A 14,331-nucleotide genomic window follows, 5' to 3' on the forward strand; every position below is an offset into this window, starting at 1 on the left:
ATATTTAAACTTCACCAATGGTAGCGATAAAAAAATGCCCTATTGTATAGAGTACCCTTGATATAACAAACTCCATCTTAGAATAAGACTTCATTTTATGTTTCAGAGGGCACTTTGCCAACAAGGATAAGATGTTTTGTTTAATAAATAAAAAAGATAAAGATTGCATCCAATCAGATAAAGACACAAACAAGGACACTCGTCCAAGATCAGTTCTCACCAGAGGCCTCTGTGACTTTAAAATGTCAGGCCTTCAGCAGCTCGAAATGGGGCTGTCTTAACTGATACTGTCTTGCAGTCACTCATGATAAGAACTTGGCATCTGCTTCTGCCACCTCAAACACTTTTCCTTGCAAGACTGACCTGCTCCCACTGGACTGGTTCCTTAACCTTTCTCCTATCTCTTTCTCCTCTTCATGTTCAATGCTACTTTGTTTATTGTGGAATGTTTAATCTGTAATATATGTATATTGATTAAGCATACTATTATGTATGGTTTCCCATATTGACTGACTTGTGGAGTGGCTCAAGCCTGTGTGCCTGCGGCTCTGACTACCAAGAGAACAGGAGGTACTAAAGAGAATTGCTTCCTTGGGAACTCCATGTAGCCTCTGGCTTTTGTGACTGAATTAGCATCAATAAAAGCCTGACATTCTGGAAAGACACAAGCATGTGTGGACCTGGTTATTTTTAACCTGGCATCGCTCATGACACCTATGTTCAAAAAATTCTTTTTTTTTTTTTTTCTTTTTAAAACTGCTATTGGGGCATTATTCAATGTCTTCAAACAAAGAATCCTTGACAAATTTCCTTCAGAACCAAGCACTGGGCAAAAATTTCTTCCTTCTGACGAACTGTTTCCTAAAATTGCACACAAAAAAGAATTCTGCAACCAGTTTTCTTTTTATAGGTTGGTGGACAGCTCAGAAGTAAGTTTTATGTTTAATTGCTCTTATTCCTCTCATTCAGAATTTATTGCTATTGTTTCTTCTTTATCCTTTATTTTTTGGTTCATGTTGGTTCTTAGAACAGTTTTTACAACCTCATTTTTTTTTTCTGAAGTGGGTGGTATAAAAAAGTTGCAATTAATTCAGGAATTAAAAATGTGGCTCCTAAGACATTTCTTTCTTTCTTTCTTTCTCTCTCCTTCTTTCTTTCTTTCCCTTTCTTTTTTTCTCTTTCTTTCTCTTTTTTCCTTTATTTCTTTCTTTTTCTTTCTTTTCTTTTCTTCTCTTTCTTCTTTTTTTTGATAGAGTCTCACTCTTGTTACCCAAGCTGGAATGCAGTGGTATGATCTTGGCTCACCGTAACCTCCACCTCCTGGGTTCAAGTGATTCTCCTGCTTCAGCCTCCTGAGTAGCTGGGATTACAGGCATGCACACCCACCTAATTTTTGTATTTTTAGTAGAGACAGGGTTTCTCCATGTTGGCCAGGCTGGTCTCAAGCTCCTGACCTTAGGTGATTGACATGTCTTGGCCTCCCAAATTGCTGGGATTACAGGCATGAGCCACCACGCTGGGCCTTATTTTCTAATGGCACTGCATTCCCCTGTCAGAATATTTGCTCCTCCCTCTCCATTGTTTATTTACTTGAAGTGAAAAAGGACAAAAAAGCAAAAGACAGCAAATTGATGGCAGAAGGTTTGCCTGGAAAATTCCGAGGGACAAAGAAAGAACTGGCAAATAATGCCCCCCCGAAACAGATAGGTCCTGGGGAGAAATATGATTTCCACGTTTGCAGACTCCTTCTCTTGTACAAACGGGTTGGGAGCTGGTTTTGGTTCAGTTCTTTCCTCAATGCTCAGGAAACAATTGAAATTACAAATGCGCCCCAGGTGCTGTCTTCACCAACGATGCATGGAAAGATGAATGTGTTTACATGTAGTCAGGGGCTGGAAGGTGGAACTCACAAAAGGATTGAAATTAATATGCAGAAGAGGACCTGGGAGAGTTCCCTATCCTTCCTGCTAAGTGCATCCCCAGGTTTCTAAAACATCCATTCAGATCTTTGTATTTGTTTTAATTTGTCCAGAGTTATTCACAAGGTTTTAGAAATCAATTAGTTCTGTAGTTGGAAGATTACCCATTAGGTAGAAATACAAGAGTCTTGGGGCTATTTCTCTTCAAATAGGTAATTTTTGACTTTCGTGCCTGTGTCTAGTTTTGAGGAGGAAAGATCTGATGCCTCCTAATTTTCCTTGTGTGTTTTTAAAGGCATAGTAACAAACATTGACTCCAGTAAGCTGTAGGTGCCAATGGGTGCGTTAAATGAGGTTTTAGAAAAGGAGACTTGAAGGAGGCCCGAACAGCAGAGGGAGTACTGGCCTGGGAGTTGAAACACCTGAATTCTATGCTTGCCCTGCCAGTATCTAGTACGGTAGGAACAGTGGGCCGTTTGCCACCTGGCGTCCCATGCATTCTCTCCCTCCTCCCTGCCCCAGGAGGCTGATCCTCCAGACTGCATCACCCAAGGTCCCTTGCTGTCTGGCATCCTATTAGGTTGGAGATGACAGATGGGAAACAGAGACTCCCATCTCCGGCTGTAGAGATCTCAGCGCGAATACCTCCTGTATGTTCCCCTGTCCTGCTGTTCTGGCCCTTGCTTTTGGCCTTGTCACCCTTTGTTCTCATAACCCTGATCACACCTAGCTAAGTGGTCCCCTTAAGTTCTTTTCATCTGAGCCATCTGGGGTGGACTCTGTTTTCAGGCACGTCTCTGAATTTTACAAATGGCAACCAGCTTTAGCAAACTGGAAATGGGTTTGAATTCCAAACCACTGGGATCACAGCGGCTGTGTCTGGATTCTTTCCAGAAGGCTGCCAGGTGGGAAGAGAAACAGGGAAGATGAATTGGTACCCACTTGCCTGGTCCTTTGCAGACTGCTGCTCTATCTCCTGAAAAGCGTTAAGACCAAAGACAGCTCCGTTTTACCCACCAAACATATTAATACACTCAGGCACTTAAGGATAAAGAGCTTTGCTCATGACTCAACCAAAAAAAATTTTAATGGAATTTTCTTCTTTTTTTTTTTTCTTTAAATAACAATTTGACAAAAGGGTGAAGAAATCCTAAACAAGGTATTGAGGCCAGTGTCCAGGCTGCATTCAGTTCACAGAACTGTCCTCAGGACGTTGCATGGAACTGGAAATGTGTATAATTACAGAAGAAAACAGGGAGGACTTAGTGCAGAGAGGAGACGAGTGTGGACGGGCAACAGCATCCTTAGTCTTTCATATTTATATATGGTATATGTATTTTCTATATATATATTTATATATTTTACATCCAGGTATCCCAGTCATCTGTACCATTTCCCAGGGAGACATGGGTGCTTCCAAGGCGAGACAGGAAAGGGTTAGGCAGGGAAGGGGCAGCGACGGTGCAGGCTGGGGCTTGGCTCACAGAAGCTGCAGGAGCTTCAGCGACTGTAAGAGGGCCCCGGGCTCCGCAGACGCCAGGTACTGGCAGCAAAGCCAGTCCTCCAGCTCCACGCCCCGCCTGCGATCCACCGCCTTCTCCGCAAACTTCATCATCATCAGGGCCCGCTTCATGTCGATCCAGTTGTGCAGCGTGCCGCACAGCGCCTCCTCCGAGGTGCCCGGCTGCTGCACCAGCTCGCGCCGAGGCCCCCACAGCAGGCACTGCAGCACGCGCTTGGCCTCGCCGATGCGGATACGCTTGATGGGGTCGGCCTCCAGTAGCAGATGTGCCAGCTGCTGCAGGCCGGGTGAGTAGAGGGACAGCGCGGGCAGCGGCGGCAGGTCCTCCTGCCGGTAGTCTCTCTCCCGCAGCTGGGCGCGCACCTCGAACGGGTTGGGTTGGTGCAGCAGCTCGTAGATGAGGATGCCTGTCTGGAACTCATCGAACTTGCGGTACTGGGAAGCAGACACGATCTCGGGGGCCAGCCGGGCCTGGCTCTTCTTCTGCTGCAGGTTTGGGGTGCCGCCCGGCTTCTGCTTGGCCTTCAAAAAGTTGCTGATGATGAGCCGGGGCAGCTGCTTCTCCCGGGGCCCTTCCGGGGAGGCGGGGCCGGCTGCGGGGCTGAGAGTGCCACCAGCAGGCGGGGCGGCAGAGGAGCAGGGAGGCGCGGCGGCGGCGGGGGCGGGAGCCGGGGCGGGGGCGGGGGCGGGCCCGGGGCCGGCCTGGAGGGTGCAGTGCACCAGCAGCAGGTTCTCCAGGCACAGGTCCCGGTGGATGATCCCGTGCTCCTTCAGGTGCTCCAGCCCGTTGCAGAGTTGCAGAAGCAGGAAGCACACGCGCCGCTCGTACGCCTCGGGCTCCGCCTGGTGGCTGGCCGCCGAGTCCCGCACGAAGTCGGAGGCGGTCTGATGTGGCACCTCTCGGGTGATGACCACCACGCAGTCCTGCTCCTGGGCAGGGGGGTGTGTGGGCAGGGCAGGCACAGGGTCCTTGGGCGCGTCGGGGGAGCTGAGCATGCTGGACGGCACCGAGGCGACGAAGTGGCCGCAGTCCTGCTGGATGTTAAAGTGCACGGGCACGGACGGGCTGCAGTAGGAGACTGTTTTGGGCTCAGGGGCTTTGCAGATCTGTGGAGAGAAGAAGAAGTGAAATCAAGAGTGGGGCCCATGGTTCCGCCCAGCAAAGAGTGTGGAAACATTTGAGTATCTACGTGCAATAAGCCTATCCACATAGGCTTAAGGGTAAGAGCAATCCATACACATGCTAGAAGAAAACATGGGACAGAATCTTTGAGGCCTTGGGTTGGGCAAAGATTTCTTAAATATCACACCAATAGCATAGTTCACAAAAGAAAAGAAAAATCACAAACTTAACCTCAAAGTTCTAAACTTTTGTGCTTCAAAAGACACCATTAAGAAAGTGGAAAGACAAGTAATAGACTGGGAGAAAATATCTGCCAAAATGTATGTAATAAAGGACTTGTTTCTGGAATTTGTATTAAAAAACACTCTTTTACAACTCAGTAAGACAAACAGCCCAATTAAAAAAGGATACAGAATCATGGCATGGAGGAAAAAACAAACAAACAAACAAAAAAACGTGGGCAAGAGATATGAATAGGTAATTCACCAAAAAAATTTGTAAATGGCCACAAGCATGTGAAAAGATGCTGGACATCATTATTCATCAGGCAAGTGCAAATCAAAACCACAGTGAGATATCAGTTCACGCCCACTAGAATGGGTTCTAATAAAAGACAATTCCAAGTGTCTATGAGGATGAGCAGAAATGGGAAACCTCAGACATTGCTGATGGGAATGTAAAATGGGGCAGACCCCTTGGAGCAGTTTGTTAGTTTCTTAAAAAGTTAAACATAAAATGACCATATGACCCAGTGAGTGGGGTCCCTGCCGAGCAACACACAGTGTGGTCGGGAGGTATTGGTAGGAAGACATCCCTCTGTGCACAGTATGGACAAATTCTCAAGAAGGCAAATAGTGTTTATAAGAAAGCAGCCTCACTTCCCACATACTTTTCCTTCAAGGTGAGTCACAGCAGCTGAAAGAAACCAGAAAGCTCTCCAAGGAAGAAGGAACCAGAAGGAACCCTCAGAGGAACCCCAGGGCACCATCTGAGATGAAGGTAGGAAAAACAAGATGGAAGGTCTCAGGCTTCTCTGTGGGAAGCATAGCTGGGGATCCACACAACTCTGTCTTTCTCGCCTCCTCCATTTCTTCTTGTACAAATGGCAGTGCCAGCCACCTGGGGATCTCTAGCAATCCTAGTCCTCATCTGGCTGCCACTCAACTAGAGAGTCTTGAACCAGCCGTAATGGCCCTCTGTCAGGCCTCAATCTCCCTGTCATTACCCTGAAAGGGACTGAAGTCCCCTCTCTCAAATGAATATTATGCAACCTCACCCAGGCTTTGTAGAAAGACAAAGATCAATGTGTAATGTAGAAAGACAAAGATCAGATGTGAGAAGAAAGGCATCTCACATCTACCTATAAAATATTATCCTGCAAACACTCCTAAAATAACCCTGCCTTCAGGCTGCAGTGTTGGAATGATGATGAAGCAGTGTTTTTGAAGTACCTCAATGCTTACAGGCGATACTTTTAGAAGTTCTACTGCAAGCACCTTTTCACGGAGATTTATTTATATTGCAGCTATGCAAAGCTTCTCAGCATGAAACCTGGCATACAAGAGCTTGGCCTCCAAGAGATGTTTTTAAAGCTAATTGTCGGGAATGGTGGGTAACACATTAATTTAGTAATCTGTCTATTATAAAAGCAGAATGGTAATAAAAAGGAAAGACATTTACCCCAGACATTGCTTCCTATTACACTAACAAAAATGATTTTGAAATACATGCCTAAAAGGCATTGTTCAGGCTCTTTCTTATTCCGGACTACCCAACTCTACTCGGTTTTTATTTTTTACTTTTTGAGACAGGCTGGAGTGCAGTGGTGCAATCACAGCTCACTGCGGTTTTGACCTCCCAGGTTTAAGCGATCCTCCCACCTCAGCCTCCCGAGTAGCTGGGACTAGAGGTGTGCACCACCATGTCCAACTAATTTTTGGAATTTTTGTACAGACAAGGTTTTGCCATGTTGCCCAGGCTGGTCTTGAACTCCTGGGCTCAAGTGATCCTCCCACCTCGGCCTCCCAAAGTGCTGGGATTACTCGCGTGAACCACGGTGCCTGGCCTGCACTTGGTTTTTAAATGGCAGGCTTCTGGAGCACTATTAAACTAAAGGAAATTTGCAGCAATGGTGGTGGGGGAAGTCCTCAAAGAAAGCATCTTGCATATACGCTGTGTTGTCAGTGGAGATGTGGGAGGACATCACTGTTATTGTCTCACCCCTAACAGATTACAGACTGGGCTCTTGCATGTGCAAGTACTGTGCCAACTGTGAGGGTTCCATGCAGCATCTCATTCAATCTCATTAAATCCAAGGAGGAAGATGCTATTACAGAGGAGGAAACTGGGGCTTCCAGAAGTTAAATTATTTGCTCAGGACTATACAACCGAGAAGTGTTGCAGAGGTCAAAAGCATGGGCTCTGGAGTGAAAAAAGGCCTGGGTTTAAGTATTAGCTCTGTAACCTTTGTCAAGTTACAGGGGATTTTCATTATTTGCAGGAGTTATGTTCTGTGAAGAAGCCATAAACACTGAATTAGTGAATAGTGAACCGTTTTTCCTAGGGGAAATACAAGGTAAGTTTCCTGGGAACCTCTGGTCACAATATTTTCATTAACCCACCAGTATTCAACCTTGTTTCATGTATGCTTCTGTTTAGAGATACCTTGTTTAACATACCTTGTTGAGTCATTAAGAGGAACTCACGGGCAACAGCACTAGAGCTCATCCCTGAAAAATGCTTATCTAACACATATGTTTTTACCCATGAGGCACATCCCAGCCTTGTGGTGGTTAGGAACACTAGACAGCACTTCAGCCCTATGCTTCGGCCATTTTATTTTATATATATAGTTTTGTTTTGTTTTGTTTTGTTTTGTTTTTGAGATGGAGTCTCTCTGTCGCCCAGGCTGGAGTGCAGTGGCACGATCTCGGCTCACTGCAATGTCTGCCTCCCGGGTTCAAGCGATTCTTCTGCCTCAGCCTCCTGAGTAGCTGGGATTACAGGTGCCTGCCACCACACTCGACTAAATTTTTGTATTTTTAGTAGAGACAGGGTTTCACCATGTTGCCCAGGCTGGTCTCGAACTCCTGACCTCAGGTGATCCAGCTTGGGCCATTTTAAACAGCAAAATCACCAACATGTAAACCCAAAAATAAAATTCTAAGGCCCTCCAACCATCTGAAATGGACCCCTCCTCTCAGTCAAGGGCATTCCAAAGTGAACATAAAAAAATGAGTTCAGGCCATGATGGGAAGGGGGCGCTGGACATGCCTCATGCTACCCTCCTCCCTGTTGGGATTACTGATAGGGCAGTCTCTTCAAGTCTGATAAAAATATTTACAATGTGTTCTCACTCAAGCCTGCTACCTGGAGGCTTCGTCTGCATGATAAAGTCTTGGTCTCCATAACCCCTTCTCATAATCCAGACATTCCTTTCTATTGATAATAACTCTCTCAACCAAGTGCCAATCAGAAAATCTTTGAATCCACCGACGACTTGGAAGCTCCCCCGGCCCCCTCAACTTCAATGTACATCATACATGTATTGATTGATAACTGTGTCTCCCTAAAATGTACAAAACCAAGTTGTGGCCTGACCACTTTGGGAACATGGTCTCAGGATCTCCTGAGGGCTGTGTCATGGGCCATAGGTGACTTATATTTGGCTCAGAATAAATCTAATATTTTACAGAGTTGGACTCTTTTCATTAACAAACAAAAAGCACACAAATGTGAAAAACAAGACACTAAATAGACTGCAAAAAATGACCCTGGCTTCCAGGATGAGGGCTGAAACAAGATGGGAGACTGTCGCCTCATTCCCCTTCAGCTGGAAACATGCACATTGGGTGATATGGTTTGGCTGTGTCCCCAAACGAATCTCATCTTGTAGTTCTCATAATCCCCACGTGTGGTGGGAGGAACCTGGTGATGTTCTCATGATAGTGAGTGAGTTCTCATGAGATCTGATGGCTTTATAAGGGGTTTTCTTTTCCCTCCCTTTTTTTTTTTTTTTGAGATAGAGTCTTGCTCTGTTGCCCAGGCTGGAGTGCAGTGGCGCATCTTGGCTCACTGCAATCTCCACCTCCTGGCTTCAAGTGATTCTCCTGCCTCAGCCTCCCAAGTGGCTGGGATTACAGGTGCCTACCACCACACCTGACTAATTTTTGTATTGTTCATTTTTTAGTAGAGATGAAGTTTCACCATGTTGGCCAGGCTGGTCTTGAACTCCTGACCTCGTGATCTACCTGCCTTGGCCTCCCAAAGTGCTGGAATTACAGGCATGAGCCACTGCACCTGGCTGCTTTTGCCCCTTTTGCTTGGCTTCTCCTTGCTGCCACCATGTGAAGAAGGACGTGTTTGCTTCCCCTTTCACCATGATTGTAAGTTTCCTGAGGCTTCCCCAGCCATGCTGAACTGTGAGTCAATTAAATCTCTTTCCCTTGTAAATTACCCAGTCTCAGGTATGTCTTTATTAGCATCGTGAGAACTAAACATCAGGTGACTCAAATTTTTCCTTCCCTTACACGTATCCAGAAATCACTGGAAAGCGCTTCGAGTATTGATTTTGGAATTACACATAAATTTGAGCGGGTAGATGATTTTGCAAATACAGAATCCATAAATAATGAAGATGGACGGTATTTATCTCAAAGCATGTTTTCTCCTCTGAATGACAGGGGCAGGGATAGTCCTTCCTCGTAGGGCCATTGTGAGGATCAGATGAAATGATGCAGGCATGGCTCTCAGCGCCAGGCCCAGCCCAGGGCAAGCACAATGGGGAAGGTTGCTATGGTGACTGCTCTTGCCATCTCGGCTGTAGCCCTCTGGTGATGCGGAGGCATCCAGAGCTGGCCTGCAGGTATTGTGCAAACCCGAAGAGCACAGCTGCCCAGGGGCCTGGGAAGAGTTTCCAAGGCTCCTTTTTCTCAGGGGTATGAAAAGCCTGGGCCCAGCAAACACTTGAGGCCTGGAGCTCCAGTCAGGCTGCTGACATTTTGCACAGAGATGTAAATGAAGGAGCAGAGTAAATGGCAACTGGGCTGGATGCATTTCAAAATCAGTGCACTGGGCCTTTGGCAAGACCCGCAGCTTCCTCAAAGGCCAGCAACGGAGAAGGCTGCGTTGGGCGCATGCTAACTAGCCCTGTGAGTGAGCTGTAGGCCCGCGCCGGAGATCATTCCACAGCACTGGGTGGGGGAAGGGGCGGTGGGGGAGGGAGTGGCTTTTTCTCCATCTCCATCTCCCTACTCCCTGCCCCCAACCAACCTCATTTCATTTTCAGGGGGCCCTGCACTCGGATTTTTAGCTCTAGAACTTTACATAGACTCTTGGTTCAGCTCAAGTTTCTAACGTTTTGCTGAGCCAGGACTCATTTAAACTTTGGAGTCAGGGCCTCATTCACGGGCGAAAGTCTGGGCTAAATCATGTCTGTTAAATAAAAAAGGCCCAGCAGCTTAAAACGGGGCCCTAATTACCAAACTAGAATTCTGTCTAGATGGCTGAGAAATGAAACTGCTTCGAAGACGCACACACAACTAATGATTTTTTTTTTCCTGTCACCTATTCATGCGGTGGAGCTACAAGAACCAGCTTTATCTCCTCACTGCTGCAGGGCGCTGAGCCCAAAGTAGTAGGTTCCAGCATCAGCAAGGAGCAGGTGTGAGCCTGCTATTGTTAACTAGGACTCCGCGACCGCAAACGAGGCTCCGTCTGCCTTCAGTGCCGGCTCCCTGTTTAACATGTGCAGATAAAATGCGCTCAGCCTCAGACAGGCAGCTCGCTGGCTGGGAAGGGAGACCCACTCCCCCTCCTGCGGATCCCCAGATGACTGTATTTCGTCTAGACTGGAGAGCTAATGAAGTGGAACAGCTGCCCGTGCGAAATGATGCTCCAGGGCCCCCACGGCCCGCCCCCCCAATGACCAGGCCAGGCACATTTGCAAATTAATATTGTTCCTGGTAACGTTGTTCCAAGAATTACCATCCTCTGCATATTGGATGCTAGTCTCCAACTTTCCTTTTTCACGTGGCACAGAGACGGTCCTTGAGCTACCACGTCTCCAGGAAAGTCAACTAGGAAACCCCTGCGGCTCCTGTTTAGAGGGCTAAGGCTTATCTTTTGGTTTCTGTGTGGCTTCTGTTTCTAATGAAATAAGGAGCAACACTTGTTTTTAACATTCTTAAGGAAAGTTAAATTTCTTTTGTGTTGTTTATTAGAGAATACGGCTAATTCTGCAGTAATATATGGGGCCCTAGAATCCAAGCTGCACAGCACAATTATTTATGTTTGTGAAAAACAAAACTGTGGCGGGGCACGGTGGCTCATGTCTGTAATCCCAGCACTTTCGGAGGCCGAGGCAGGTGGATCACAAGGTCAGGAGTTCGAGACCAGCCTGGCCAATATGGGGAAACCCCATCTCTGCTAAAAATACAAAAATTAGCCAGGCGTGGTGAGGGGGCGGCGCCTGTAGTCCCAGTTACTCAGGAGACTGAGGCAGGAGAATCGCTTGAACCCAGGAGATGGAGGTTGCAGTCAGCCGAGATCACACCACGTACTCCAGCCTGGGCAACAGAGCGAGACTCTGTCTCTAAATAAATACATTAATAATAATTAAAAAAAAAAAAAGTTTGTCCCAAGGGCCCCTTACTTCTTGCAGAAGGGTCACCTCACTTTCTATACCATGGACAAGAGGAATTCAGTGTCTTCCACCAGGCTTTTTCCTCCTCAAAACAGAAAGGTCAGCTGTCTCTTGATACTGAATAATATTATTCAGTATATATTATTTATAATAATACTATTACTACTACTATTAATAATATTCAGTATATATAAATAATAAATAATTATAAATAATATATATTGAATATTAGTATTATTACTACTATTAATTACAACTACTATATATTATTTATATATACTGAATATTAATAGTAATAATAATATTACTTAAATATTGTTTAATATTATTTTTAAAATGTTAGCAATATTATTTTAAAAAATTGTTGGTAAGCAAGCTACCCCACCAAGGCCATTTCAAATTAGCTTATTCTTTGCACTTTTCTAACTGGAAAAAAAAGCGATGTCTTAGGGCAGGTGATGAGAGAAGATAGCTCAGGGTCTCCCTCCTGACTCCCAATAAAAGCCCACATTTATAGAAGGGCCAGGGTCTCAATAGGTAATCAAGGAACAGCAAAAGAAGATGACAAATAGGGCCACAGGAAGGACTGGAGTTCATGGTAGAGACTCCAGTGGCCCAAATGGGTGCAGATGGCTCAACTAGCTCACACAGAGCTGCACTCTGACAGTGCAATACAGTGTGGGTAGCAAGAGGCCTGATCCAGCATCAAAGGTTAAAGAGCTGTGCTGCCTTGAGCTAGTCACTTAATGTCTCTGAACTTCATTTATCTTAAATGGTAGGGACATAACTTAGGCTTTGGAGACAGACACAGAAGAGCTCAAATCCATTCCAGCCACCAACTAGCTATGGGCAAATTACTTAACCACTTTGAGCCTCAGATCCTCCATCTGTAAAACCTACCTAACCTGTAGGATTACTGTTAGGATTAGAGGTAAGAGTCTAGTTGTAGAGTGAATGCTCACACAAATGATATTATTACTATTATTGTTCAAGATGATTCCTAGGTCGAATGCTCCTTCTGGATCTAACATTAGAAGAATGACCTCATTATCCATCTCCCTCACTACATCATAGCTCTATAAGGAAGCTTATATTCACACCTACATACTCAGATTGTGGCAAAGTACCTGGCCTATAGTAGACACTCAATAAAAACCTGGTCAATAAATGAATAAACTCTCCGTTGCACTAAAAGGCAACTGTTTTCTTAACTCAGCTAAAGCACAGAATGTGTCTTATATTCATACTACAAATCTCATTGCACCATGTCCTGGGGCAGAGAGAGAGTGAAGCTGCTGAGCACTAAGTGTTAAAAGAATGCTTAGGGGTCAGGGGTGGTGGCTCACACCTGTAATCCCAGCATTTTGGGAGGCCGAGGTGGGTGGATCATCTGAGGTCAGGAGTTCAAGACCAGCCGGGCCAATATGGCAAAACCCCATTTCTACTAAAAATACAAAAATTAGCTGGGTACCGTGGTGCACACAGATAATCCCAGCTACTCAGGAGGATGAGGCAGGAGAATCGCTTTAAAATGGGAGGCGGAGGCTGTAGTGAGCCAAGATTGTGCCACTGCACTCCAGCCTGGGCAACAAAGTGAGACTCTTATCTTACAAGAAAAAAAAGAATGCTTAGGAATCAACTCCCCTCCTAATGCCCAGACAGGTGAAATGACTTGCTCAGGCCACAGTTCTGCCCAAGCCAGCACCAGCCAGTGGCACAGCAGAATGCAAGGAGGGAGTGGTACCTACTTTCACAGCATAGGTGCTGCCGGGGTCCTCAGAGCAGGTGGCACAGTAATAAATGGCATCCCCCGAGTCACAGCAGGGCTTGTTACAAGTCAGCTTGAAGAGCGACCAGTTATTCTCATTGAAGTGGAGCTCCTTTTTCTGGCCGCCCATGAAGAGGTCCTCACATTTGGCTACAAGGCGGGCCAGGGACTGGGTGTAGAGTCCCCCCAGCTTGGCATAGGTGCCCTCCTTGCTGCTGATGTTGCTCAGGAGACCGTGCAGCTGAAGCTGGGTGCTCCCGGTGGAGGCTTGACTGGACACGCTCAGCTGGGAGGATGAGGCGGAGGGGGCCCCTTTGCACTGGAGGCCAGGGCTCCCGCAGCCGCCTCTGTTGCCCGCCAGCCCTGCTGCCGGAAGCCAGTGGCCACTGCCTTTGAAAGCTTTCTCCAGAGGATCGGAAGAGGAGAAGACAGGATGGTGGCGGTTCCCGGGGCTCAACGAATAGCTAAAGTGAGATTCGTCGTGGACGTTGGTTTCCGAGTGGCTTAGGTTCAGCTTGGGGCTTGCTGTTCCGGGCTTGGGGGAGCCTTGGGTCCAGAAGAAGCCATCCGGTGAAGAGGCTGCCCGGCTCACTATCTTTTTCTGGGGGAGTGGAGGGGGCTGCTGGGGGCCACTGGGGGACACGTCCTCAGTGGAGCCTGAAGGAAACGGAACGGGAGCAAAGAGCTTCTTCCCGCTGTTGGTGGGCGAGTGAGCCAGCTCAGACGAGGGACCTGAAGAGGAGAGACAGAAACCATAAGACCAAGGCCAGTGCCACTCAATTCCAGGGTCCTGCAGACTTGTTTCCCTTTATTTATTTATTTATTTGGTCAGAGCAATTAATTTTATGTTACTTCTTTTCTATTTCTCTAATAGACAATATATGCACAATGGAAAAAATCAAAATGCAGAAAAGGTATAGATTGACAACTAAGTCTTCCTCCTACCCTGTCCCTCATACTCAGCTCTCTCATCAGAGGAAACCACTGTCAGTAGTGTTTCATGCATCCCTCCAACAATCCAAACAAATGCGTGCCTGCACGCGTGCGCACACACACACACACACACACACAAATTACATAGAAAAGAGCAAACGGTGGCTACTGTTTGGAATAATGCTTTTCTTTCACATCTTGGAGAGATTTTTAAATCAAATATGCAGATCTATTTAATTATTTTAAACAGTCTCACCATAATATATCACCATATGCAAGTATCATAATTTAACCATCCCTTTTTGATGGACACTTAAATTGTTTCCAATATTTTGCAAACAATGCTGCAACAGCAATAACAAACTCGAACATGTGTGGTTTCCGTGGAATTTTTTAAAAGTCAGGTTTATAGAGGGTGTAACT

At 46.3% G+C, this 14,331-nt stretch overlaps 1 protein-coding gene and 1 long non-coding RNA gene across 4 annotated transcripts in view; one reads left to right on the top strand and one right to left on the bottom strand.

Moving 5' to 3' along the window:
- Nucleotides 1-2,981: 2,981 nt before the first annotated feature.
- Nucleotides 2,982-14,331, bottom strand: part of PRAG1 (PEAK1 related, kinase-activating pseudokinase 1) — a 68,704-nt gene continuing 57,354 nt past the window's right edge. For all 3 annotated transcript variants that reach the window (NR_163138.1, NM_001080826.3, NM_001369759.1), the window contains 2 exons: nt 12,956-13,707; nt 2,982-4,548 (listed from right to left, as the gene is read on the bottom strand). Coding sequence is in view for 2 of the 3 variants with exons in the window: in NM_001080826.3 (NP_001074295.2) it covers nt 3,400-4,548; nt 12,956-13,707 (1,901 nt within the window). In the remaining variant the exon portion in view is untranslated. The remainder of the gene's footprint in view (nt 4,549-12,955; nt 13,708-14,331) is intronic.
- On the top strand, nt 5,503-7,139 carry LOC124901879 (uncharacterized). The gene is made up of 3 exons (XR_007060799.1): nt 5,503-5,563; nt 6,090-6,172; nt 7,065-7,139. It is a non-coding gene; the product is annotated as an uncharacterized LOC124901879 (long non-coding RNA).

The sequence above is a fragment of the Homo sapiens genome, chromosome 8 (assembly GCF_000001405.40).
Source record: "Homo sapiens chromosome 8, GRCh38.p14 Primary Assembly".
In the NCBI taxonomy this organism is placed as follows: Eukaryota; Metazoa; Chordata; class Mammalia; order Primates; family Hominidae; genus Homo; species Homo sapiens.